The sequence below is a fragment of the Homo sapiens genome, chromosome 9, assembly GCF_000001405.40.
Source record: "Homo sapiens chromosome 9, GRCh38.p14 Primary Assembly".
Taxonomy (NCBI): domain Eukaryota; kingdom Metazoa; phylum Chordata; class Mammalia; order Primates; family Hominidae; genus Homo; species Homo sapiens.
The window spans coordinates 100,517,560-100,542,958 of record NC_000009.12 but is presented as its reverse complement, the minus strand read 5'-3'; the positions used below and the strand labels follow the sequence as shown (position 1 = coordinate 100,542,958).

The 25,399-nt window shown below is 39.6% G+C and overlaps 2 protein-coding genes across 2 annotated transcripts in view, besides 1 other annotated feature; both read right to left on the bottom strand.

The window, feature by feature from the left end:
- The window catches only part of MSANTD3-TMEFF1 (MSANTD3-TMEFF1 readthrough), a 135,731-nt gene that overhangs the window by 34,678 nt on the left and 75,654 nt on the right, over window positions 1-25,399 (bottom strand). The gene's annotated exons all lie outside the window — the stretch shown is intronic.
- TMEFF1 (transmembrane protein with EGF like and two follistatin like domains 1) overlaps window positions 1-25,399 on the bottom strand; it is a 104,488-nt gene that overhangs the window by 34,678 nt on the left and 44,411 nt on the right. The gene's annotated exons all lie outside the window — the stretch shown is intronic.
- Window positions 14,915-15,468: an enhancer, noted in NCBI's record as "H3K27ac-H3K4me1 hESC enhancer chr9:103289773-103290326 (GRCh37/hg19 assembly coordinates)". NCBI's record gives its function as "activates a minimal SCP1, AML or CMV promoter by ChIP-STARR-seq in naive H9 embryonic stem cells {active_cell/tissue: H9 hESC(naive)}" and the evidence as "EXISTENCE:reporter gene assay evidence [ECO:0000049][PMID:30033119]".

Below are 25,399 nucleotides of genomic sequence, written 5' to 3'. Positions count from 1 at the left end.
GAAATGCTGTCTCAAAAAAAAAAAAAAAAAAAAAAGAGAGAGAGAGAGATGGAAGAGTCAGAAGATCTAACAAAAATCTCATTAGCATTCCAGGAGTTAAGAAAATGAGGCAGGAAAATATTCTCAGCAACTTCTCTTCAAACTTTCTAAAACTAAAAAAGATACTCATCTAAATATCCAAGAAGCCCAATGAATCCCAAACAGGATTACTAAAAATGGATCCACATACTGAAATATCATAGTGGAATTTTATAATGAGAAAAAGAATATTTTAAAAGCAGCCAGAAAGAAGAGAAAGATTACCTTCAGCGAAGTAAGAATAACAGGGAAACTGACTTTTCAAAAGCAATACTGAAGCCAAATTGTTTATAGCTAAAAGTGAAATAGTACCTGCTATGCGCTAAGGTAGAACATAATTCTATTTAAGACAAATCTTTTGAGAATAAGGGTAAAATAAAAGTAACTTGGAAGGAGTAAAAAGTTACAAAATTTGTCACCTGCTGACTGTCAGTAAAGGAAATTCTAAAGGCAATAGAAAAATGATCCTTTAAGGAAAGTCTGAGATGCAAATACGAATGAAGAACAAAGGTCTAAATACATGGGTAATATAAGAACAACAGTGCTCTGTGTGGTTAAATTTTTTTAAGCTGGAAATTAAAATACATGATGATAACAATAGCACACAAGTTTGGAGGAATTGAAATTCAAGTGTTTAAGGAGAACAGTGACATTAAGGAAATTTAGATTGTGATAAGCTGAATATGCATGTTAAAATTGCTGAGGTTACCATTACAAGAAGGAAAATCCATAACTTCAAAACTACTAGAGAAAAAAAAAATCCAAAAAAGGCAAGAAAGGAAAAAGAAAAAGGAAAAGCAAGACAAAAGTATAAAATAAGAAAAAAAATATCAGTATTCACAATATATTTAAGTTGACCACATTTTCCAATTAAATAACAAAGGTAGTTGGCTGGATAAAAATACAAAAGCCAGCTATATGTTGCTTGTAAGATACATGTTAAAATGATGACACCAAAAGTTCAAAATAATAGGAGAGTGAAAGAGATACATCACCCTGGGTATAGAAGAAACCTCGTATGGTTATATTTAATATCAGATATAAAAGATTTTAGGTCAAAAAGGATTATAGGAATTAAAGAAAATCCCTTCATAATAATAAAAATATTTTATTCAGCAGGATAATATAATTCTAAACATTTTAAGATAGTCTCAAAACCTATAAAGTGAAAACTGATATAACCACAATAAGAAATTGCCAAATCTGGCCAGGCGTGGTGGCTCATACCTGTAATCAATCTCAGCACTCTGGGAGGCTGACGCAGGCAGATCACGAGGTGAGGAGTTTGAGACCCACCTGGCCAACGTAGTGAAACCCATCTCTACTAAAAACACAAAAAATTAGTTGGGTGTAGTGGCAGGCACCTGTAATCCCAGCTACTTGGGAAGCTGAGGCAGGAGAATCACTCGAACTTGGGAGGCAGAAGTTGTGGTGAGCCAAGATAGCGCCACTGCACTCCAGCCTGGGCAACAGTGTAAGACTCCATCTCAAAAAAAAAAAAAAAAGAAAGAAAGAAAGAAAAAAAAAAAAAATGAAATTGCCAAATCCACCATGATAGGGTTTAACACACCTCTCTCAGCAACTCATATACCAAGCAGAAAAAATATCAGCAAAACTGAAATCTTAACAGGTAAGGTGACTTGATGCTGGGATTTGCTTTAAATACTTCCCAAAAAAAGGTAACAGAATTAGACTTTTGAAGATGAATAAATGGGTAGAGGTCCATCATTTTTCTCCTTTTCTGTTTGATGATTTCCTTAATTCATAATGAATTGAAGACCTAAATGTGAAAGTCAAAAACTATAAAGATTTAGGAGATCAAACGTAAGACTGAGGAATTTGAAATAAACAATGCCCCATAAAGAGAATAAGAAGACAAGTTACAAACAAAAAGATAAACATAGCCCACATAATCAACAAATAAGTAGTATCCAGAATACACAAATACAAATCAATTTTTTAAATAATATATGTGATCAATGGGAAAGGGGAGCAAAAAAATAGAAATAAAAGAGGAAACATATAAGAACAACATATGTGAAAAGATATTCAACCTCATTAAGAATCAGAAAACTTAAAATTAAAATCACAATGAGATACCATCCACACTCACGAAATTGGCAAAAGTCAAAAACAAGGACAAAACCCAAGTACTGGCAAGGATGAGAAGCTAAGGGAATTCTCATCCTCTGCTGGTAGTGAGAGGTGACAACGTGCTAGCAGCCCTCACCCGCTCTCAGCACCTCCTTGGCCTCGACATCCGCTCTGGCCCTGCTTGAGGAGCCCTTCAGTCTGCCACTGCACTGTGGGGGCCCCTCTCTGGGGCTGGCCAAGGCCGGAGCCAGCTCCCTCTGCTAGCGGGGAGGTGGGGAGGGGGAGGCACGGGTGGGCACTTGGCAAGGCCGGCTGGTGCCTGCTGGGCTTCATCAGGGAACAAGCTCCCTCTGGGCTGCCAGAGTGCCCAGGCTAGGTGCCGCAAGGTCCCGAGGCAAGTGCCATTGAGAGGTGAAGCCGGCTGGGCTTCTAGGTCGGGTGGGGACTTGGAGAACTTTTCTGTCTAGCTAAAGGATTGTAAACGCACCAATCAACACTCTGTGTCTAGCTAGAGGTTTGTAAACACACCAATCAGTGCTCTGTGTCTAGCTAATCCGGTGGGGACTTGGAGAACTTTTGTGTCTACCTAAAGATCGGGTGGGGACTTGGAGAACTTTTATGTCCAGCTAAAGGATTGTAAATGTGCCAATCAGCGCTCTGTGTCTAGCTAATGGGGTAGGTGACTTGGAGAACTTTTCTGTCTAGCTAAAGGTTTGTAAACGCACCAATCAGCACTCTGTGTCTAGCTAGAGGTTTGTAAATGCACCAATCAGCACTCTGTCTAGCTAAAGGTTTATAAACACACCCATCAGCGCTCTGTGTGTAGCTAATTGGGTAGGGGACTTGGAGACCTTTTGTGTCTAGCTAAAGGTTTGTAAATGCAGCAATCAGCACTCTGTCAAAACGGACCAATCAGTGCTATGTAAAATGGACCAATCAGCCCCCTGTAAAACGGACCAATCAGCTCTCTGTAAAATGGACCAATCTGCAGGATGTGGGTGGGGTCAGATAAGGGAATAAAAGCAGGCTGCCTAAGCCAGCAGTGGCAACCCGCTCAGGTACCCTTCCACGCTGTGGAAGCTTTGTTCTTTCACTCTTCACAATAAATCTTGCTGCTGCTCACTCTTTGGGTCCGCGCCACCTTTATGAGCTGTAACACTCACCGCGAAGGTCTGCAGCTTCACTCCTGAAGCCAGCAAGACCACAAACCCACCAGAAGGAACGAACAACTCCAGACGCGCTGCCTTTAAGAGCTGTAACACTCATCGCAAAGGTCTGCAGCTTCACTCCTGAAGACAGCAAGACTACGAACCCACCAGAAGGAAGAAACTCCAGACACAGCTGAACATCTGAAGGAACAAACTCCGGACATACCATCTTTAAGAACCGTAACACTCATCGCGAGGGTCCACAGCTTCATTCTTGAAGTTGGTGAGACCAAAAACCCACCAATTCCGGACACAGTAGGAAAGCTTACTGGGACAGCAACTTTGGAAAACAGGCATTCTGACGAAAAACTAGACTTGCACACGCCCAACAACTTCACAACAAGGCAAGGCCGTTGAAAATCTCCTACACACAGGCCAGGCTCAAAGGTTCATGCCTGTAATCCCAGCACTTTGGGAGGATGAGGCAGGCGGATCACTTGAGATCAGAAGTTCAAGACCAGCCTGGCCAACATGGCGAAACCCTGTCTCTACTAAAATACAAAAATTAGCCGGGCATGGTGGTAGGCACCTGTAATCCCAGTTACTCAGGAGGCTGTGAAGCATGAAAATCACCTAAACCTGGGAGGTGGAGGTTGCGATGAGCTGAGATTGAGCCAGTGCACTCCAGCCTGGGCGACAGAGCAAAACTCTGTCTAAAAAAAAAAAGAATATCTCCTACTCGTGTATACCAGAAAATGTGAAAGAATATTCACAGCAGTATTATTCATGAAAACAAAAGACTGGAATAATCCAAACGTCGAAAGTAAAATGGACTGTAAAAGAATGTGGTACAGGCAAACAATCAAATTCAACAAGCAGTAAAACTGAATTAACTACAGCTATGTGCATCAACATAAATGAATCTCAAAAACATAATGCTGTGCACGAGAAAATCAAGAAGAATGCATATAGCATGATTCCATTTATACAAAATACAAAAGCAATCAAAAGCCAGATTATAGATCATTAAGGGACCTATCATATGTGATAAAATATAAAGAAAGGAAGGGAATAATTTCTGCAAAATGCAGTATAGCATGTGGGTGAGAGACAGATGCAATTAGAGAGAGACATGGGAGGCCCTGAAGTACAGTCTGCCTTCCATATCCTCAGGGCCGACTGCAGGGCTTTGAGCATCCTGAGATTTTGGTATTTGAGGGGAGTATCAGAACGAATTCCCCCCAAATACTGACAGACGACTGTACTGCTAAAATTCTGTTTCTGGCCGGGCACAGAGGCTCACGCCTGTAATCCCAACACTTTGGGAGGCCGAGGCGGGTGGATCACAAGGTCAAGAGATGGAGACCATCCTGGCCAACATGGTGAAACCCCATCTCTACTAAAACTACAAAAACAAAATTAGCCGGGCGTGGTGGCAGGCACCTGTAGTCCCAGCTACTCGGGAGGCTGAGACAGGAGAATCATTTGAACCCAGGAGGCGGAGGTTGCAGTGAACTGATACTGCGCCAATGCACTCTAGCCTGGCAACATGAGAGTCTGTCTCAAAAAAAAAAAATTCTGTTTCTTGCCTTGGGAGGTAGATTCACAAAAGCTCATTTCATTTTTGCGCATTCAATCAAATGTGTATATTTTAGTTTTCATACACTTTTGAATATATTTTATAATTTAAAAATTAAGGAAACAGAAAAAAATTTTAGTTCATAAGAATATTCACTAAAGTCAAAAAATATATATTGTACCAAAAATTTAATTTCTGGAAAACAAGAGGTGAAAGAACCAAAGAAAATAAAGTTAGCCAATCACAGAAGGTGAGTTCAGGTAAAAGTTGTGGATAAGGGAGGGGCGCAGACAAATGCAGAGAACAACAATCTACTATGCGTGGGTGAAAACATGTGCACAAACATTTAGTCATAATATCTCTGTATCTAAACAAATATTGAAAGAATGCCATGCTGAAAAGGACTTTAGAAAGCCATCTATTCTGATCTTCCACTCAGTGCAGGGCTCCTCTCAGCAGTATTTGTGACCTTATTGTTACATTGCCCCTGCCAGAGCATCTGTAGCAATAGACAGCTTACTATCTCACCAAGGCAGTACATCTCATGGGTGAGTGGTTATTACCTGGGCTGAGCCCCAAACATGCATCCTAATTAATTTCCACCCATTGACTCTAACTCTGGCCTCTGAATCTACATGTAATAAGCCCAAAATATCATTTAAAGATTCAAAGATAATCATTATATTGAATATAAGTTTTCACCTGAAGTTAATTCAATGATTCATTTGTTATATCATCCTCATCACCCTCCAAATTCAGTATCTCATAATATGAGGCCAAGAACAAAACAAGGACTACAGTACAGAGAAGCTATTACCTTAACTGTTCTGGACACTATGCTTACATAAACACAGGCAGGATTGCATTAACTTTTCTGATAACCACATCAAACTTTAGACACATACTTAACTTCTTAAATATACTCAACTCTGTAGGTATGGCCTGCAAAACATGTCACCACTATTGTCTGAAACCCAGGGTTAGGACTTCACATTTATCTCTATCAAATTTTAGATTATCTATCTCAGCATGCTGAAATCTTTTAGACTCTAATTCTATCATGTAACATCTCTTCAGACTGACATATTCATAATGTTGACAAGTCATCAATAAATGCACTGACTAGAACAAAATAAACATAGCCATATGTCATATTCTAAGAAACCTACCTTAATGTTTCTAGAAAAATGAATCCATTACTGAACACCTTTTAAGAAAAGTTGTTAACCAGCTAGAATTGCAACTATCATCTGACCTGACTTCCTATGTCATGTATACCAAGCCAGATTGATGATTATCTTGCTTAGATTCATATACATTACAGTTAAGGCTCAGCCCTGGTACCACAATCTTATCACACTACCAAAAAAGAAAAAGAGGTTAGATTTAGCATGCTCTTACTAACAATCTCAGCATGTGCTCAGAAATAAAGTTAATAATCAAGAGAAGACTTAAAAGAAATGTAATCCTAAAAGGTCAGAGGCTCAAAGATCATGGCTTGCCCATTACCAAAATTAGTGACAATGCTTTTTATATTAAACAAATGTACAAAAACTTTTCCCATTACTTAAACAAAACTTGAGGTATTAAATTAATTGTGAACCTCCCTGCTCAATTTTCCAAGGAAAGGCCATATTTCTCTTCGTTTTTTTTGTTCCCAGTTCCTCTTCCTCAAGGCTCAGCATAAAGGAGAAAAAATCATGCAATAACCACTTTCATTTAAAAAATTTTTTGAGCCCTACAATATGAGGCAAGGTCTGCATAAAAACTTCCAAGACATTACCCCTAGAAATGGGCTTTCAAAGATTTAACCTATTTTTTTCTACTAAAGAACAGTATTTCAGATTCTCTCAATAGGGTCTTGATATACACATACCATTAGTTTTACTTTTGAAATAAATGACACGCTTCTAGCACTAATAAACATAGCCTGATCTATATACACACTGCTACATTTGAGAGAGCCCATGCTCGTTTCCACAGAAGATATTGTTTTTTAATATATCAAAATAAAAGAAGGTTGTTAAAATACCCTCCAAATTCCAAATTACTATATTAAATATCAAATCTAAATATATATTTGTCTTTAAAGGAGTAATATAATAAAAACAATATTTGAGAATGATTATTCTCATGGCTACAGGTAAGCTGCAGTGAAATAATGTGAAAAAGAGTAGCAGAATAGAGGGGGTCAAATCAGGCAAAGGAGAAGAGAAAATTAATTTCAAAGAGCAATCTGGTAAAGTTAACAGATTTTCTTCTTTGTGGTTGTTAGTTTAGTTTTGTTTTGTTTTTTGAGATACGGTCTCACTCTGTCGTTCAGGCTGGAGTGCAGTGGCACAATCTCAGCTCACTGCAACCTCCGCCTCCCAGGTCCAAGCCTGCCTCAGCCTCCCAAGTAGCTAAGATTACAGGCACATGCCATCATGCCTGGCTAATTTTTATATTTTTGGTAGAGGCAGGGTTTGGCCATGTTGGCCAGGCTGGTCTCCAACTCCTGACCCCAAGTGATTCCCCCACCTCGGCCTCCCAAAGTGCTGGGATTACAGGTGTGAGCCACCACATTCAGCCCCGTTAGATTTTCTGGTACATTCCTATTAGTAAAGGAAAATGAGAGAAAGGTAATAAAAGGGATGATTCAAAAAAGGGAAGTGCTTCTTTCCTTTCAATATGCCCCCAAGGAATGGGAAACATTTTTAAATGATATGAATTAAGTAATTAAGGAAAGGGATAAAACAAAGCGTTCACTAAGCATAACAGATTTCTTGATTCATGGAGAACACAGGTAGAAAACACAAAGGTGAAGAAAATGAAGAAGTAATGAAAAATAAAAGGAATTAAGAAACAACAAGGGGGAAAAAAGTACAGCTCAACCTGGAATAAAGGCACTATTTGCTGTCATTTTACCATATATTAAAAATATATATATAGATGGATGGTTTAAAGTAGGGATCAATCCTGGCAATTACAGAAGTGGGTCAATCCAGACCAATGTCTGTTTTTGCACACCCAGAAGCTAAAAATGGTTTTCACATTTCTAAAAGGTTAGGTATGGTGAAGACCACATGTGGCCTGCTAAGCCTGATATATTTACCATCTAGCCCTTTACAAAAAAATTTTGCCCACCCTGACCTAAAGGATAAAAGTGGGCAAAACTGGGATGGCAGTTAAATAGAAATGGTGGTTAACGGAAGAAAATGACAGCAACATAGCAAAATACCATACCAGTCCAATAAGAAACAAGTAATCACTTGTTTAACAAGTGGCTTTGTTTATAGTGGGTATTGCAGCCCAACCAGGAAATGCCTTGATCAAATGTATGAAAAAGACAGTGCTCCTTAGTGGGATGGTACCACTGCATCTAAGACTAACAACAGTGAAAACAATCACTACTGTTTTCAATGGCATACAAAGAAAGAAGATTAAATTACCATTTCAAGTAAAGTCCAGCTCAGTGAAACAATGAGCGAAGGAGGAAAATATGAGACTCCAGAGGCCACGGATACTACTGATTATAGTGATTACAGCTGTTTGCAGACTGCCAAGCGTAGCAGAGGTCAGGATGCCCAAAGCACAGAAGCGTGCACTCAAATGAATAGAAATCACTCTTTAATAAATATGCTGAATTTGAAACATTTAACTACATTTACTCTGCACCTACTGTGTGGGTATAGTCACATTTGCCTCATCTAACCCTGACAATTCTAAATTATCAATACAGAAACTGAATATGAAGGAAATCTAAAAGCCCCCAATCAAAAAAACCAGTGAGGGGCTGAGACCAGTGTTTTCTCTATTCATTACAGCTGTTATACCAAATAAATATCTGAGCATGGAAAGTACCACATGAAAAGGCATTTTTCATGTTTATCATAAAATTTTTCATGAAACTCTACCACATCCACTTCTAACACTCCCACTTTTCTTTCTAACACACTAGGGACACTCCTGCCTCAGGCTTTCCCTCTTCCTGAAACACTTCCCCACACAGCCTCCTGGTTCCATCCCTCACCTCAAAGTTTTTGCTCAAAAGAATAGATAAAGGCCGGGAGTGGTGGCTCACGCCTGTAATCCCAGCACTTTAGAAGGTCGAGGTGGGTGGATCATGAGGTCAGGAGATCAAGACCATCCTGGCCAACATGGTGAAACTTCATCTCTACTAAAAATACAAACATTAGCTGGGCATGGTGGTGCACGCCTGTAATCCCAGCTACTCGGGAGGCTGAGGCAGGAGAATCGCTTCAACCCAGGAGGCGGAGGTTGCAGTGAAACAAGATCGCACCATTGCACTCCAGCCTGGCGACTGAGCGAGACTCTGTCTCAAAAAATAAATAAATAAAATAAAAAGACAAAAAATAAAATTAAGCATCCATTTAAAAAGTTAGAAAATGAACAACAGAAAAAAAAGCCAATAAAAACAAAAAGAAGGAAAATATATAACAACAGAAATTTAAAAGTTACAACAGAGGTTAGTAAAACCAAAAGTTGGTTCTTTGAAAAGACTTTCAAATTGATAACGCAAGCTTTTCTGCAGGCTTTTTCCTGAGAGAGAAAAAGATAAAAAGCAGTATCAGTAATGAAACAGACTAAAACTTCAACAGGGATTATGATTTAAAAGATAATAAAAGGTTATTGTAAACAACATTATGCCAGCAAGTTTGAAACTCTAGGTGAAATGAGCAACTTTTTAAAAATTCTATCAAGTTCTAAAAAAAAAGGCAATAGAACCTTAAGGGTACACTAATCATTAAAGAAACTAAATCAGTTGTTCTTAAAAAGTCCCTTAAAGATAGCATCGGATCCAGGCATTTTTTTTTTATTATTATACTTTAAGTTCTACGGTACATGTGCACATTGTGCAGGTTAGTTGCATATGTATACATGTGCCATGCTGGTGCGCTGCACCCACTAAATCGTCATCTAGCATTAGGTATATCTCCCAATGCTATCCCTCCCCCCTCCCCCCACCCCACAATAGTCCCCAGAGTGTGATATTCCCCTTCCTGTGTCCATGTGATCTCATTGTTCAATTCCCACCTATGAGTGAGAATATGCAGTGTTTTGTTTTTTGTTCTTGCGATAGTTTACTGACAATGATGATTTCCAATTTCATCCATGTCCCTACAAAGGACATGAACTCATCATTTTTTATGGCTGCATAGTATTCCATGGTGTATATATGCCATATTTTCTTAATCCAGTCTATCATTGTTGGACATTTGGGTTGGTTCCAAGTCTTTGCGATTGTGAATAATGACGCAATAAACATACGTGTGCATGTGTCTTTATAGCAGCATGATTTATAGTCCTTTGGGTATATACCCAGTAATGGGATGGCTGGGTCAAATGGTATTTCCAGTTCTAGATCCCTGAGGAATCGCCACACTGACTTCCACAATGGTTGAACTAGTTTACAGTCCCACCAACAGTGTAAAAGTGTTCCTATTTCTCCACATCCTCTCCAGCACCTGTTGTTTCCTGACTTTTTAATGATCGCCATTCTAACTAGTGTGAGATGGTATCTCATTGTGGTTTTGATTTGCATTTCTCTGATGGCCAGTGATGATGAGCATTTTTTCATGTGTTTTTTGGCTGCATAAATGTCTTCTTTTGAGAAATGTCTGTTCATGTCCTTTGCCCACTTTTTGATGGGGTTGTTTTTTTCTTGTAAATTTGTTGGAGTTCATTGTAGATTCTGGATATTAGCCCTTTGTCAGATGAGTAGGTTGCAAAAATTTTCTCCCATTTTGTAGGTTGCCTGTTCACTCTGATAGTAGTTTCTTTTGCTGTGCAGAGGCTCTTTAGTTTAATTAGATCCCATTTGTCAATTTTGGCTTTTGTTGCCATTGCTTTTGGTGTTTTAGACATGAAGTCCTTGCCCATGCCTATGTCCTGAATGGTAATGCCTAGGTTTTCTTCTAGGGTTTTTACGGTTTTAGGTCTAACGTTTAAGTCTTTAATCCACCTTGAATTGATTTTTGTATAAGGTGTAAGGAAGGGATCCAGTTTCAGCTTTCTACATATGGCTAGCCAGTTTTCCCAGCACCATTTATTAAATAGGGAATCCTTTCCCCATTGCTTGTTTTTCTCAGGTTTGTCAAAGATCAGATAGTTGTAGATATGCGGCGTTATTTCTGAGGGCTCTGTTCTGTTCCATTGATCTATATCTCTGTTTTGGTACCAGTACCATGCTGTTTTGGTTACTGTAGCCTTGTAGTATAGTTTGAAGTCAGGTAGTGTGATGCCTCCACCAGCTTTGTTCTTTTGGCTTAGGATTGACTTGGCAATGCGGGCTCTTTTTCGGTTCCATATGAATTTTAAAGTAGTTTTTTCCAATTCTGTGAAGAAAGGCATTGGTAGCTTGATGGGGATGGCATTGAATCTGTAAATTACCTTGGGCAGTATGGCCATTTTCACGATATTGATTCTTCCTACCCATGAGCATGGAATGTTCTTCCATTTGTTTGTATCCTCTTTTATTTTATTGAGCAGTGGTTTGTAGTTCTCCTTGAAGAGGTCCTTCACATCCCTTGTAAGTTGGATTCCTAGGTATTTTATTCTCTTTGAAGCAATTGTGAATGGGAGCTCACTCATGATTTGGCTCTCTGTTTGTCTGTTGTTGGTGTATAAGAATGCTTGTGATTTTTGTACACTGATTTTGTATCCTGAGACTTTGCTGAAGTTGTTTATCAGCTTAAGGAGATTTTGGGCTGAGACAGTCGGGTTTTCTAGATATACAATCATGTCGTCTGCAAACAGGGACAATTTGACTTCCTCTTTTCCTAATTGAATACCCTTTATTTTCTTCTCCTGCCTAATTGCCCTGGCCAGAACTTCCAACACTATGTTGAATAGGAGTGGTGAGAGAGGGCATCCCTGTCTTGTGCCCGTTTTCAAAGGGAATGCTTCCAGTTTTTGCTCATTCAGTATGATATTGGCTGTGGGTTTGTCATAGATAGCTCTTATTATTTTGAAATATGTCCCATCAATACCTAATTTATTGAGAGTTTTTAGCATGAAGGGTTGTTGAATTTTGTCAAAGGCTTTTTCTGCATCTATTGAGATAATCATGTGGTTTTTGTCTTTGGCTCTGTTTATATGCTGGATTACATTTATTGATTTGCGTATATTGAACCAGCCTTGCATGCCAGGGATGAAGCCCACTTGACCATGGTGGATAAGCTTTTTGATGTGCTGCTGGATTCGTTTTGCCAGTATTTTATTGAGGATTTTTGCATCAATGTTCATCAAGGATATTGGTCTAAAATTCTCTTTTTTGGTTGTGTCTCTGCCCGGCTTTGGTATCAGAATGATGCTGGCCTCATAAAAAGAGTTAGGAAGGGTTCCCTCTTTTTCTATTGATTGGAATAGTTTCAGAAGGAATGGTACCAGTTCCTCCTTGTACCTCTGGTAGAATTCGGCTGTGAATCCATCTGGTCCTGGACTCTTTTTGGTTGGTAAACTATTGATTATTGCCACAATTTCAGATCCTGTTATTGGTCTATTCAGAGATTCAACTTCTTCCTGATTTAGTCTTGGGAGGGTGTATGTGTCGAGGAATTTATCCATTTCTTCTAGATTTTCTAGTTTATTTGCGTAGAGGTGTTTGTAGTATTCTCTGATGGTAGTTTATATTTCTGTGGGATCGGTGGTGATATCCCCTTTATCATTTTTTATTGCGTCTATTTGATTCTTCTCTCTTTTTTTCTTTGTTAGTCTTGCTAGCAGTCTATCAATTTTGTTGATCCTTTCAAAAAACCAGCTCCTGGATTCATTAATTTTTTGAAGGGTTTTTTGTGTCCTTCAGTTCTGCTCTGATTTTAGTTATTTCTTGCCTTCTGCTAGCTTTTGAATGTGTTTGCTCTTGCTTTTCTAGTTCTTTTAATTGTGATGTTAGGGTGTCAATTTTGGATCTTTCCTGCTTTCTCTTGTGGGCATTTAGTGCTATAAATTTCCCTCTACACACTGCTTTGAATGCGTCCCAGAGATTCTGGTATGTTGTGCCTTTGTTCTCGTTGGTTTCAAAGAACATCTTTATTTCTGCCTTCATTTCGTTATGTACCCAGTAGTCATTCAGGAGCAGGTTGTTCAGTTTCCATGTAGTTGATCGGTTTTGAGTGAGATTCTTAATCCTGAGTTCTAGTTTGATTGCACTGCGGTCTGAGAGATAATTTGTTATAATTTCTGTTCTTTTACATTTGCTGAGGAGAGCTTTACTTCCAACTATGTGGTCAATTTTGGAATAGGTGTGGTGTGGGGCTGAAAAAAATGTATATTCTGTTGATTTGGGATGGAGAGTTCTGTAGATGTCTATTAGGTCCGCTTGGTGCAGAGCTGAGTTCAATTCCTGGGTATCCTTGTTGACTTTCTGTCTCGTTGATCTGTCTACTGTTGACAGTGGGGTGTTAAAAGTCTCCCATTATTAATGTGTGGGAGTCTAAGTCTCTCTGTAGGTCACTCAGGACTTGCTTTATGAATCTGGGTGCTCCTGTATTGGGTGCATATATATTTAGGATAGTTAGCTCTTCTTGTTGAATTGATCCCTTTACCATTATGTAATGGCCTTCTTTGTCTCTTTTGATCTTTGTTGGTTTAAAGTCTGTTTTATCAGAGACTAGGATTGCAACCCCTGCCTTTTTTTGTTTTCCATTTGCTTGGTAGATCTTCCTCCATCCTTTTATTTTGAGCCTATGTGTGTCTCTGCACATGAGATGGGTTTCCTGAATACAGCACACTGATGAGTCTTGACTCTTTATCCAATTTGCCAGTCTGTGTCTTTTAATTGGAGCATTTAGTCCATTTACATTTAAAGTTAATATTGTTATGTGTGAATTTGATCCTGTCATGATGATGTTAGCTGGTTATTTTGCTCGTTAGTTGATGCAGTTTCTTCCTAGTCTTGATGGTCTTTACATTTTGGCATGATTTTGCAGCGGCTGGTACCGGTTGTTCCTTTCCATGTTTAGCGCTTCCTTCAGGAGCTCTTTTAGGGCAGGCCTGGTGGTGACAAAATCTCTCAGCATTTGCTTGTCTGCAAAGTATTTTATTTCTCCTTCACTTATGAAGCTTAGTTTGGCTGGATATGAAATTCTGGGTTGAAAATTCTTTTCTTTAAGAATGTTGAATATTGGCCCCCACTCTCTTCTGGCTTGTAGGGTTTCTGCCGAGAGATCTGCTGTTAGTCTGATGGGCTTCCCTTTGTGGGTAACCCGACCTTTCTCTCTGGCTGCCCTTAACATTTTTTCCTTCATTTCAACTTTGGTGAATCTGACAATTATGTGTCTTGGAGTTGCTCTTCTCGAGGAGTATCTTTGTGGCGTTCTCTGTATTTCCTGAATCTGAACGTTGGCCTGCCTTGCTAGATTGGGGAAGTTCTCCTGGATAATATCCTGCAGAGTGTTTTCCAACTTGGTTCCATTCTCCCCATCACTTTCAGGTACACCAATCAGACGTAGATTTGGTCTTTTCACATAGTCCCATATTTCTTGCAGGCTTTGCTCATTTCTTTTTATTCTTTTTTCTCTAAACTTCCCTTCTCGCTTCATTTCATTCATTTCATCTTCCATCGCTGATACCCTTTCTTCCAGTTGATCGCATCGGCTCCTGAGGCTTCTGCATTCTTCACGTAGTTCTCGAGCCTTGATTTTCAGCCCCATCAGCTCCTTTAAGCACTTCTCTGTATTGGTTATTCTAGTTATACATTCTTCTAAATTTTTTTCAAAGTTTTCAACTTGTTTGCCTTTGGTTTGAATGTCCTCCCGTAGCTCAGAGTAATTTGATCGTCTGAAGCCTTCTTCTCTCAGCTCGTCAAAGTCATTCTCCATCCAGCTTTGTTCCGTTGCTGGTGAGGAACTGTGTTCCTTTGGAGGAGGAGAGGCGCTCTGCTTTTTAGAGTTTCCAGTTTTTCTGTTCTGTTTTTTCCCCATCTTTGTGGTTTTATCTACTTTTGGTCTTTGATGATGGTGATGTACAGATGGGTTTTTGGTGTGGATGTCCTTTCTGTTTGTTAGTTTTCCTTCTAACAGACAGGACGCTCAGCTGCAGGTCTGTTGGAATACCCTGCCGTGTGAGGTGTCAGTGTGCCCCTGCTTGGGGGTACCTCCCAGTTAGGCTGCTCGGGGGTCAGGTGTCAGGGAGCCACTTGAGGAGGCAGTCTGCCTGTTCTCAGATCTCCAGCTGCGTGCTGGGAGAACCACTGCTCTCGTCAAAGCTGTCAGACGGGGACATTTAAGTCTGCAGAGGTTACTGCTGTCTTTTTGTTTGTCTGTGCCCTGCCCCCAGAGGTGGAGCCTACAGAGGCAGGCAGGCCTCCTTGAGCTGTGGTGGGCTCCACCCAGTTCGAGCTTCCCGGCTGCTTTGTTTACGTAAGCAAGCCTGGGCAATGGCGGGTGCCCCTCCCCCAGCCTCGCTGCCGCCTTGCAGTTTGATCTCAGACTGCTGTGCTAGCCATCAGCGAGACTATATGGGTGTAGGACCCCCCGAGCCAGGTGCGGGATATAATCTCGTGGTGTGCCGTTTTTTAAGCCCGTCGGAAAAGCGCAGTATTCGGGTGGGAGTGACCCGATTTTCCAGGTGCCGTCTGTCACCCCTTTCTTTGACTCGGAAAGGGAAATCCCTCACCCCTTGCACTTCCCGAGTGAGGCAATGCCTCGCCCTGCTTCGGCTCACGCACTGTGCGCGCACCCACTGACCTGTGCCCACTGTCTGGCACTCCCTAGTGAGATGAACCTGGTACCTCAGATGGAAATGCAGAAATCACCGTGTTCTGCGTGGCTCACGCTGGGAGCTGTAGACCGGAGCTGTTCCTATTCGGCCATCTTGGCTCCTCCCCTCCGGATCCAGGCATTTTTTAAAAAGACAATTCATGAACACATCCATTCCAATCTTTCAAAGTAGGTAGTTTTGTTTTTTTTTTTTAAGACAGAGTTTCACTCTGTCGCCCAGGCTGGAGTGCAGTGGCGCGATTTTGGCTCACTGCAACCTCCGCCTCTCGGGTTTGAGAGATTCTTGTGTCTCAGCCTCCAGAGTAGCTGGAATTACAGTTATGTGCCACCACGCCCGGCTAATTTTTTTTTCCCTTTTTTTTTTTTTTTTTTTTTTTTTTGTATTTTTAGCAGAGACAGGGTTTCACCATGTTGCCCAGGCTGGTCTTGAACTCCTGATCTCAGGTGATCTGCCCACCTCGGTCTCCCAAAGCATTGACAGGCATGTGCACCATGCCCGGCCAAAAGTAGATAATTTCACTCTTACACAAAGTCATCCAGAGACTAGAAAAAAACACTCCCTAACTCATTTTAAAAGGCCACATAACATTAAAAACTAAACAAAAGAACAATTATAACTCATTGACTACAAATGAATAAAAGAAAAATCCATGAGTCCTGAATGATTGATAGAAAAGAAAATCTCACTCTTTCAATAGATAGAATACCAACTAATAACGTATATGTACCAAAACAGACTGCAATCTTTATAAAAGTAAAGTGCTCTAAAAATGAGTACTCTGAAAACAAAAATGAGCTCCTGGAAATTAAAAATTGCAGCAGAAATGAAAAACTCATAAAGTTGAAGAAATTTCTCAAAAAGTACAGCAAAAAAAACTTAAAACAGAAAACAGGGGAAAAAAAGATAAAATGAGACTAGACCAGGATGTCAACATTCACGTAACAGGAGTACCAAAAATAGAAAAAAGAGGAAGGGAAATCATCAAATAACTAAAGAAAATTTTTCAAAATGGAAGTCAGTAAGTATCTAGGAAAGGGCATAACATTGTGAGATATCACTACACTGGAGACCAAAAGAAGACTCTACATGCTTCAAGAGAGAAAAAAAATCATATACAAAAGATCAAGAATTAGAATGGCTTTAGACTTCAACAGCAACACTGGAAGCTAGAAGACAACAAAGCAACACTTTCTTAATTCTCAGGGAAATTTGTCTCACAGCTCGAATTATGCACTTGCAAAGTTCTGAATAAAATATTAGGTGTGGAATAAAAATACCTAAACACTTCAAACAAGGTCTCAAACGTTTTTAAAATCTCACACCTTTTCATAAGAAGCTGCTAAAAGAAGTAATAAAATAGGAGAGTAAAACCAAGAAGTTAGAAGCAAAAATAGAAGAAATACAGTACCCTATATAGGAGAGAGAGACAAAGGAATTTCTAGGAAGATCCTAGTGGTATAATAATAAGTATTCATGGTCTTTGTTCCCAGTTCCTGGTATAGAGTTCCCTTGACATATCTTGAGTGATAGGAGAGTTCTTATATTCTAGTGAGATGACTCATGGGGTGAGGGGGCAGGGAGTTAATGTCACCAGAAAAACCAACCACAGTGATTAGAGGGTTAGAACTTCTGCCTCCCAGCCCCACCCCAATTCTTCTACCTCTGGGAAGGGGACAGGGGTTGGATGTTAAGTTCAATCACCAATGACCAATGAGTTAACCAGTCACGATTACATAATAAAACTTCAGTTTAAAAACTCAGAATACGGGGGGTTCGGGAGCTTCCGGTGAGGGAGCACATCTCGGTGGTGCACTTGACTCCATGGGGACAGACGCTCCTGCACTCAGGACCCTTCTGGACCTTGCTTTATGTACTTCTTCATCTGGCTGATCATTTGTATCCTTTACAAATAATAAGTATAGTGCTTTCCCAAGTTCTGTGTTTTAGCAAATTAGCTAGGGCATGGGAACTCCAAAATTTATGGTCATCTGGGCAGAAGTGGGGGTAGCCTGGGGACCTCATTTGCAGCTGGTTATAAAGCGGGGGCAGTCTTATGGGACTGAGTCCTTAACCGTGGGTCTGCGCTAACTCCAAGTAGTTACTGTCAGAATTTAATTGAATTGTTGGACATCTAGGTAGTGTCAGAGAGTTGGAAAATCGATTGTTGTTGGAAAAGACACCACACTGAAGGGAGATCCTGGGATGACAGCTATATACAAGGTGTAGAGGGCAATCAGTCCACAATGAAATAGTTTAACTCTATAGACAGCTGTGTGGATGGCCATCATTACTAAGATGCCTAGTGCTACCGTACCCAACTTTCAGTCAGAAGATAGACTGCCCAGGTAAGCCTGGCCCAGATTCTTATCTGCAGTTGGCTTGGCTTGACCATAAGATAATGAAGTTCCTCATCACACACCGGGGCCTGCCAGGGGTGGGGGTCTGGGGGAGGGATAGCATTAGGAGAAATACCTAATGTAAATGACAAGTTGATGGGTGCAGCAAACCATCATGGCACATGCACTATGTAACAAATCTGCACGTTGTGCACATGTGCCCCAGAACTTAAAGTATAATAAAAAAAAATAAATGAAGATAATGAAGTTCCTGCTCTCCCCTCCATGTCCTGCTGCAAGAACAACTCAACCCACTCAGTTAATTGACATACTCCTGACAGCTGAAGATGAGCTATGGGGAGATTATAAGTAAACAACACAGAGCAGAGCAGTCCATTCTGATCACATTTCTACCAGTGATCCAGACATTAGAATCCTATCAGATGCCTCAACTATAGTGAGCCTACGTTCTCCATGACCCTGTGACTCCAATACTCATGGCTTTGTCCACTGACTTCCCCAAAAGGGAACCTTGTAAACTCTCTGAGGAGCTGAAAACCAGACCCTGCCACAGAGGCTGTTCAAAGTGTCTTCCGTAAGCCTTCCTCTCTAAGTGGGCACTATTGCCCTTTCCTTCCATGGCTAGGTTAACACAAGGTACTGGAAATAATAGCAGTATTCTATTTTGTACCCTAGGTGTTAGGTACATAGGTAGTTTTTAACAGGTATTCCTTAAATTGCACATGTATGTTTAAACACTTTTGTATACAGTATACATTTTACAATAAAGATTTTAAATAAGGTACAGAACTACGGGTATAGTGTGATGCCATTAGTTTTTTTTTTTTAAATAAAAGAATATATGTACATATCTGCTTGCACATACATAAAATACCCCAGGAGATTAAACAAGAAACAGATCACAGTGACTGTCTCTAGTGAAGGCAACTGAGTGACTGGGAACAGGGGTGGAAGTGAGACCTTTCACTCTAGAGCCTTTTTAAGCTTTTGAATTGGCAGCACTAAATTTCGAAGGCATGAATGCATATATACATACATAAATGAATGCATAAATTCAATACCTTCTATGATTTAGCACTATAATTTTGGCAAATCACAACTCCAAGTCTTTAAAACAGGGATAATACCTCAAAACACTGCTGACAGGATCAAATAAGATTTTGTAAAAAGTCCTTTGAAATCTATCAAATACTGTGCACATCTGAATGGTATTATTACTGAAAAACATCCACACTTTTGCTTCCTTTTTTCTTAACCCTATATAGAAAGTACCATTTCTTCTCAATATAGTAAGTTTATTTAGCAGTTAGGAAAACATTGGCTTAAACTAATTCATGTCAAGTTACTGAGATTTAACAAACACCTAATAAAGCCTGCAACAAATTCAACGCTAGTCTTTTTCACACATATTAAATCCTTACAACCACCCTGTAAGCAGCTCTAAGTGAATAATAAAGGCCTAGTGTCGATTGCCACTAATTCAACAAAGGCCTATAAAAGGGTCCATCCTAAGATACCCAACCTTATAGGCAGTTTACCCAAGACAAAAATCAGCAAGACAAAGTCCCTGCCCTCAGGAAGCTCACAGTCTACTTAGTGCTATGCAGAGGTTGCTTTTTCAAGACCAAGGAGGGACACAGAATATGGTCACATAGGAACTGTGGGAGAACGCAAGGTAGGCTTATAAGAAGAGGTGGTGAATCTGACCTAAGTCACACGGCATCTAAGGCTAGAAGGAGGAATAGGAGTTAAAATAAGCTGATAAACAGGAATGGGACTCCAGGCACAGGGAATAACAGGGGCAAAGTGGGTAAGAAAGTGTTCAATAATAACAGTGCATTCAGAAAATTGCAAGAGATTATGGGGAGACGGAGTTTTGCATTTTAAAGGCAAAACTCTCTTACTGGCAACTGTCAAAGGACTTTAAGAAGGTATTTCTGGGCTGGGCGTGGTAGCCCACGCCTGCAATCCCAGCACTTTGGGAAGCTGAGGCGGGCGAATCACTAAGTCAGGAGATCAAGACCATCCTGGTTAACACGGTGAAACCCCATCCCTACTAAAAAAAAATACAAAAAATTAGCTGGGTGTGGTGGCGGGCACCTGTGGTCCCAGCTATTCGAGAGGCTGAGGCAGGAGAATGGCGTGAACCCCAGAGGCGGAGCTTGCAGTGAGCCGAGATCATGCCACTGCACTCCAGCCTGGGCGACAGAGCAAGACTTGGTCTCAAAAAGATATTTCTGGAAGGCCAGGTGCAGTGGCTCAGGCCTGTAATCCCAGCACTTTGGGAGGCCGAGGCAGGTGGATCACGAGATCAGGAGTTCAAGACCAGCCTGGCCAAGATGGTGAAACCCCATCTCTACTAAAAATACAAAAATTAGCCAGGCGTGGTGGCAGGTACCTGTAATCCCAGCTCCTTGGGAGGCTGAGGCAGAGAACTGCTTGAACCCGGGAGGCGGAAGTTGCAGTGAGCCAAGATTGTGCCACTCCACTCCGGCCTGGGCGACAGAGCAAAACTCCGTCTCAAAAAAAAAAAAAAAAAAAAAAAAAGAAGATATTTCTGGATAAAGGAACCTGTCATTACTAACATCCAGATTATACTTTGGATAAAATAATGCTTAATAATGTTTGTGTTTTAAAAAACAACACAAAATTATTTTTCCATTATAATCTAAGGGGCTACAGTAGGGACTTACTAAACCTAAAAATAGTTTTAAAATATCCAGAATAAGGCAGTGCTAAATGACAAAAATTACTGCCATCTCTGATTAGGAGGAAATAAAAACAGAAGGATAGAAAAGGTACTTCTTCAGTTCTTGTTTTAAAAAGTACATGAAGCTTCCAGAAAGGAGGATATATTGCAGGACACAAATGTGTAGCATTACTCTGTTTACACAAGAGAAAAGATATCACTGCACCTTCTGAGGGAGAGACTCGTCATATTGTAGTACTGACCAGAAATCTGCATCAAAACAGAAAATGGTACCACAAATGACTAAGATGTCCAGCAGGTGGATTAAACTGGTTATCCATGTTGTCTGCCATACCCTGCACCTGTATGATTCTCTGAGCAACTCTGAGATATTTATATCACTCAGGGGGATAAATGGAAACAGCATCTCTAAAAAGGAGACTGACATAAAAAAGGCAGAAGAGCAGGGGCTATTTCCATAAAGTGCATTGCAGACAAAGTTCAAAAGGAATAACTGGAGGATTTTTATAACTCACCTGTATTGGCATTAGGCCTGATGATTCTACAGACTCCTCACACCATTCCTGGGCAGGGATTTAGGTCGGGTATATAAAAGGTACTGAAGTGAAGGAGTCCTATGATTATGTGTCCCCACTATCCAGAGAAGCAGCTGATGGCTATCTTACAACAATAACTTCGGCCTTGGACAGATTAGAAATACTGTTTAGAAAGTGAGGGGGTGTGGTACTAAGAATATGTGGTTTAAGAAATACAAGTTGCTGTAAAGGAAGGCTGTTTTCAAGTTTTAAGACCCAGTAGGAAGTCTATGCACTGTTTCACAGTGGTCACAGTGAAATACTGAAACCCACTTATGTGGGGAGTCATATTTCTTGGAGCCTCAACCACCTACACCTCTAGGTATAAATTTGAAAGGTAAGCATTAACGAACATAACTGTCACAAACCCAAGCAAAGCCCACGATGCCATCAAAGAAATGCAGTGAGTTTCAGGAAGGAAGGGTGAGGGGGAAGCCTCTTAGAAGCAAAAATAATTTAAATTATAAATGAATTACAATAGCCATTGAGCAGACAAGACAGATAAAACACATACAATGAATAAAGTTCACGCACTTCACTCAGAAGAACCTATACACTCTTATTTTACATTTAGAACTTATTCTTACTTTAGATACAGTTTCTGCGAGTGTTTGTTTCCTATTCCAGGGAAGCAGAGAAGCAAATTAAAAATTGAGGGCATCTACAGTCAAACTCATTGCCAAGGCACACTGACAGCATCTAGAAGCAGCAGCTAACAGCCTTACAAGAGAGAAGAAAACATTTTTAAAAAACAGATATAGAACCCAAAACACAAAGCTAAATGAAGCCTTAAGTGCAGCAGTGAAACAACCACACATCATGGGCCTCTACATGTGCATGCACAACACAATAGACTGATTCCTTGTCATGAGACCTATGTTCTGGTTCTCCATTCAGCCTTTCTGAACTCACCTTCACCTATAAAAATCAGGATAATACTTCCTTGCTCTACTACCAAACAGAACTGCTCAGAATAGCTTAAAAATATATTATGTGTAAAAAATGCTCTGAAAACTGTAATATACTACATATGTAATTGTAAGAGTATGTTAAACATGTTCTGTATATTCTGTTTAAGAAGGCAAAGAAGTATGTAATGTATTTAAATCAATTTCTATTTAAATGGCTAAATTTAAAAAAAGCACTTCTCTTAATAGCAGAAAATTAACTTACACGGTATCACTTATCCCCTCACCAAAATGCCAGATTTTTTTAACAACCATTAGCAAGAGAAAGAATTTTTAAAAGCAAGAGAAAGATTTTAGCTGCTCTTTGCAAATCAGATAGGTTGGATAACATTTTTTCTGACAGGAAAGACATTTCAAATTGAGAAAAGACAAAGTACATTTGATTTTCTGGGTTGTTTGTTCATTTGTTTTTGGAGACAGGGTCTTGCTGTGTCACCCAGGCTGGAGCACAGTGGCGCAATCATGGCTCACTGCAGCCTAGATCTCCCAGGCTCAAGCAATCCTCCTGCCTTGGCCTTCTAAAGGTTCTGAGATTACAGATGTAAGCCACCACAGCTGGCATACAATAAAATTTTAAATGAATACTTACACCTAAAAAAATACATGCAGTACACATCTATTATAGTTTACTATAGAGCAATACTTTTCAAACTGTAGGTCATAATCACTAGTGGATTATGAAGTCAATTTAGTGGTTCACTGCCAGTATTTTATAAGAAAGTAGGATAGAAAATATTAGAGTACATTGCATTTAATAAAGGTAAGTACTATTCCACAGAATTTTGTTTGACTTAATATTTATTAGTACCATGTGTATATAAACAGGAGTGCTGGATAACAATGCAAATGTATTTTTTACATGAAGTGTAGTCAAAAAAGACTGAAAGTCACTGGTAAGAAATTCAATAAATAGGCATTTGATTTCTAGATGCCAGCTAAGAACTAACAGAATTTAAAAGCAGCTAGTACTCAGAGTGACCAAGACTTAATACAGAAGTAAAGAAATCACAGCTGGGACCAGGCTGATGAAGAGGGCAGTGTTTTTGTTAAAAAAAAAAAAAAAAAAAAAAAAAAAAAGTCACTGGGCAGCAGTCCTCAAAGTAGGAAAAAGAAGATAACATTCCTTCCGGGAATTTTTTTCTTTAAAGGAAAATTAGAAAGAGGCAGATGGTAAGAAAAGCACTGTACTATTAATTAGAAGAATATACCCACATCAAACCCTCTGACTTTAGTCGTCAATGATTTCATCTTTGAAGTGAGAGGATCAGACTAGAAGATAAATTTTTTATTATTTATTTATTTATTTATTTAGTCTTTTGAGATGGAGTCTCACTCCATCGCCAGGCTGGAGTACAGTGGCGCAATCTTGGCTCACTGAAACCTCTGCCTACCAGGTTCAAGCAATTCTCCTGCCTCAGCCTCCCGAGTAGCTGGGACTACAGGTGCATGCCACCACACCCAGCTAATTTTTGTATTTTTATTAGAGACGGGTTTTCATCATGTTGGTCAGGATGGTCTTGATCTCTTGACCTCATGCTCTGCCCGCCAAAGTGCTGAGATTGAGATTACAGGCATGAGCCACTGCGCCCTGCCTGAAGATAAATATTAAGATCCTACCTTAATACTCTGATTCCAATGCAGTTCATAATAATTAAGTCATAACAGAACTACTTGAATTAAACTGAGCTTTTGTTCTTAATAACTAAAAGTTTATCTTTTAATAAGGAAATTATGTAACATCTTAATAAATAATAGGTTTTTATATAAAAATCAAGACTTAATGGCTAATGTCATATTTCTGCAGCTTTCCATTTTCCAGACCTAAACGGCCCAGCTGGATAGGTAAAAATTACCTTTAGATACATCACTATTCACCTGGTTAGCAACCATGAAAAACACATGGAAGGTGCTTTGAGGGAGTTACATAACCACTATATAACTTTCTTGGTACCATGGCCCATTTAAAAGTTAAAAAAAAATAACCACTGAGATACATTTACACTGTTAAAACAACTGCAATCAGTAACAAGTGCTTTACAGACTAAAAGATTAGATATTACCAACATTTCCTTTTGTCTCTTTCCATAGAAGGATCAAACACTTTAGCTTAATCACTTTTTTCTAGATAAAGATACCAACTGCTTCCTTCGTATTTTCCTCTTGTTGCATCAATTTCCTTGCCTGACGTTGGCTGCTTGTCACTGTCTATGTGCTCCTTAGCCTGCTGGTAAGAGCCTGCATGCTCCTTACTATTGGTAAGCCCTTCCATGGTCTATGTCCACTTCCTTATGCTTAGAGCTGGTATCTGCAACAATAGTGGTGGCAAGCTCTCAGATAAATAGACACACAAAAAATTAATTTAGTAAACACAACAGAGTTGCTCTGATTGGGAATAGGCTACATATTACACTATGAGGAGGTGTTTACATAAAGATATGTATTTTATCATGTAGATGTCTAGAACTCCCAGCCTCAAGCATTCCTCCCACCTAAGCCTCCCAAAGCACTGGGATTACAGACATGAGCCATTGCACCCAGCCTATTATGCAGATGTCACATCTGGAGCCACTTCTGAGACTAGATGGAATATGTTTCAATTCTAAGCAAAAGACCTCCATCTTTTTAAATTTAGGCATGAAAAATGATAATAGAAAAATGTATAAAATAGGGATGAATAGAAGCACCGCGAAAGGAATAAAAACAGACCAATTGATCAAGCCAATCAATCACTGACAGCTATTTTGACTCTGAACACTAATACAGAAGAGTACTAAGGAAAAATACTGACACATATACCTATATTAAGGTGTTTCATCATGCCATATCATTAGTACAAAATAAAAGGAAGAAACAGCATAATATCTATTATCAGTTCTCTCTGTAAGTCCATATTGCTCATCATTTCTCTATTGTTCTATAGGCCAGTATCTGCTTTGGAAAACATGTTCTTCCAAATCAAACCACTCTGAATGAAATGAATGGACATGGGTCAATCTATGTGACCAATATGCAGAAACAGTAAATTCAGGTTTTGTTGAGTTCATTTATTATTGAACTTACTTGTCTTTTGCCAGTTCTCACCCACTTTGAAATATGCACCAAATAAATTAATACAATTTTACCAAGTGCCATCCAAATAGCTGATTTTGTACATAATACTGAAAA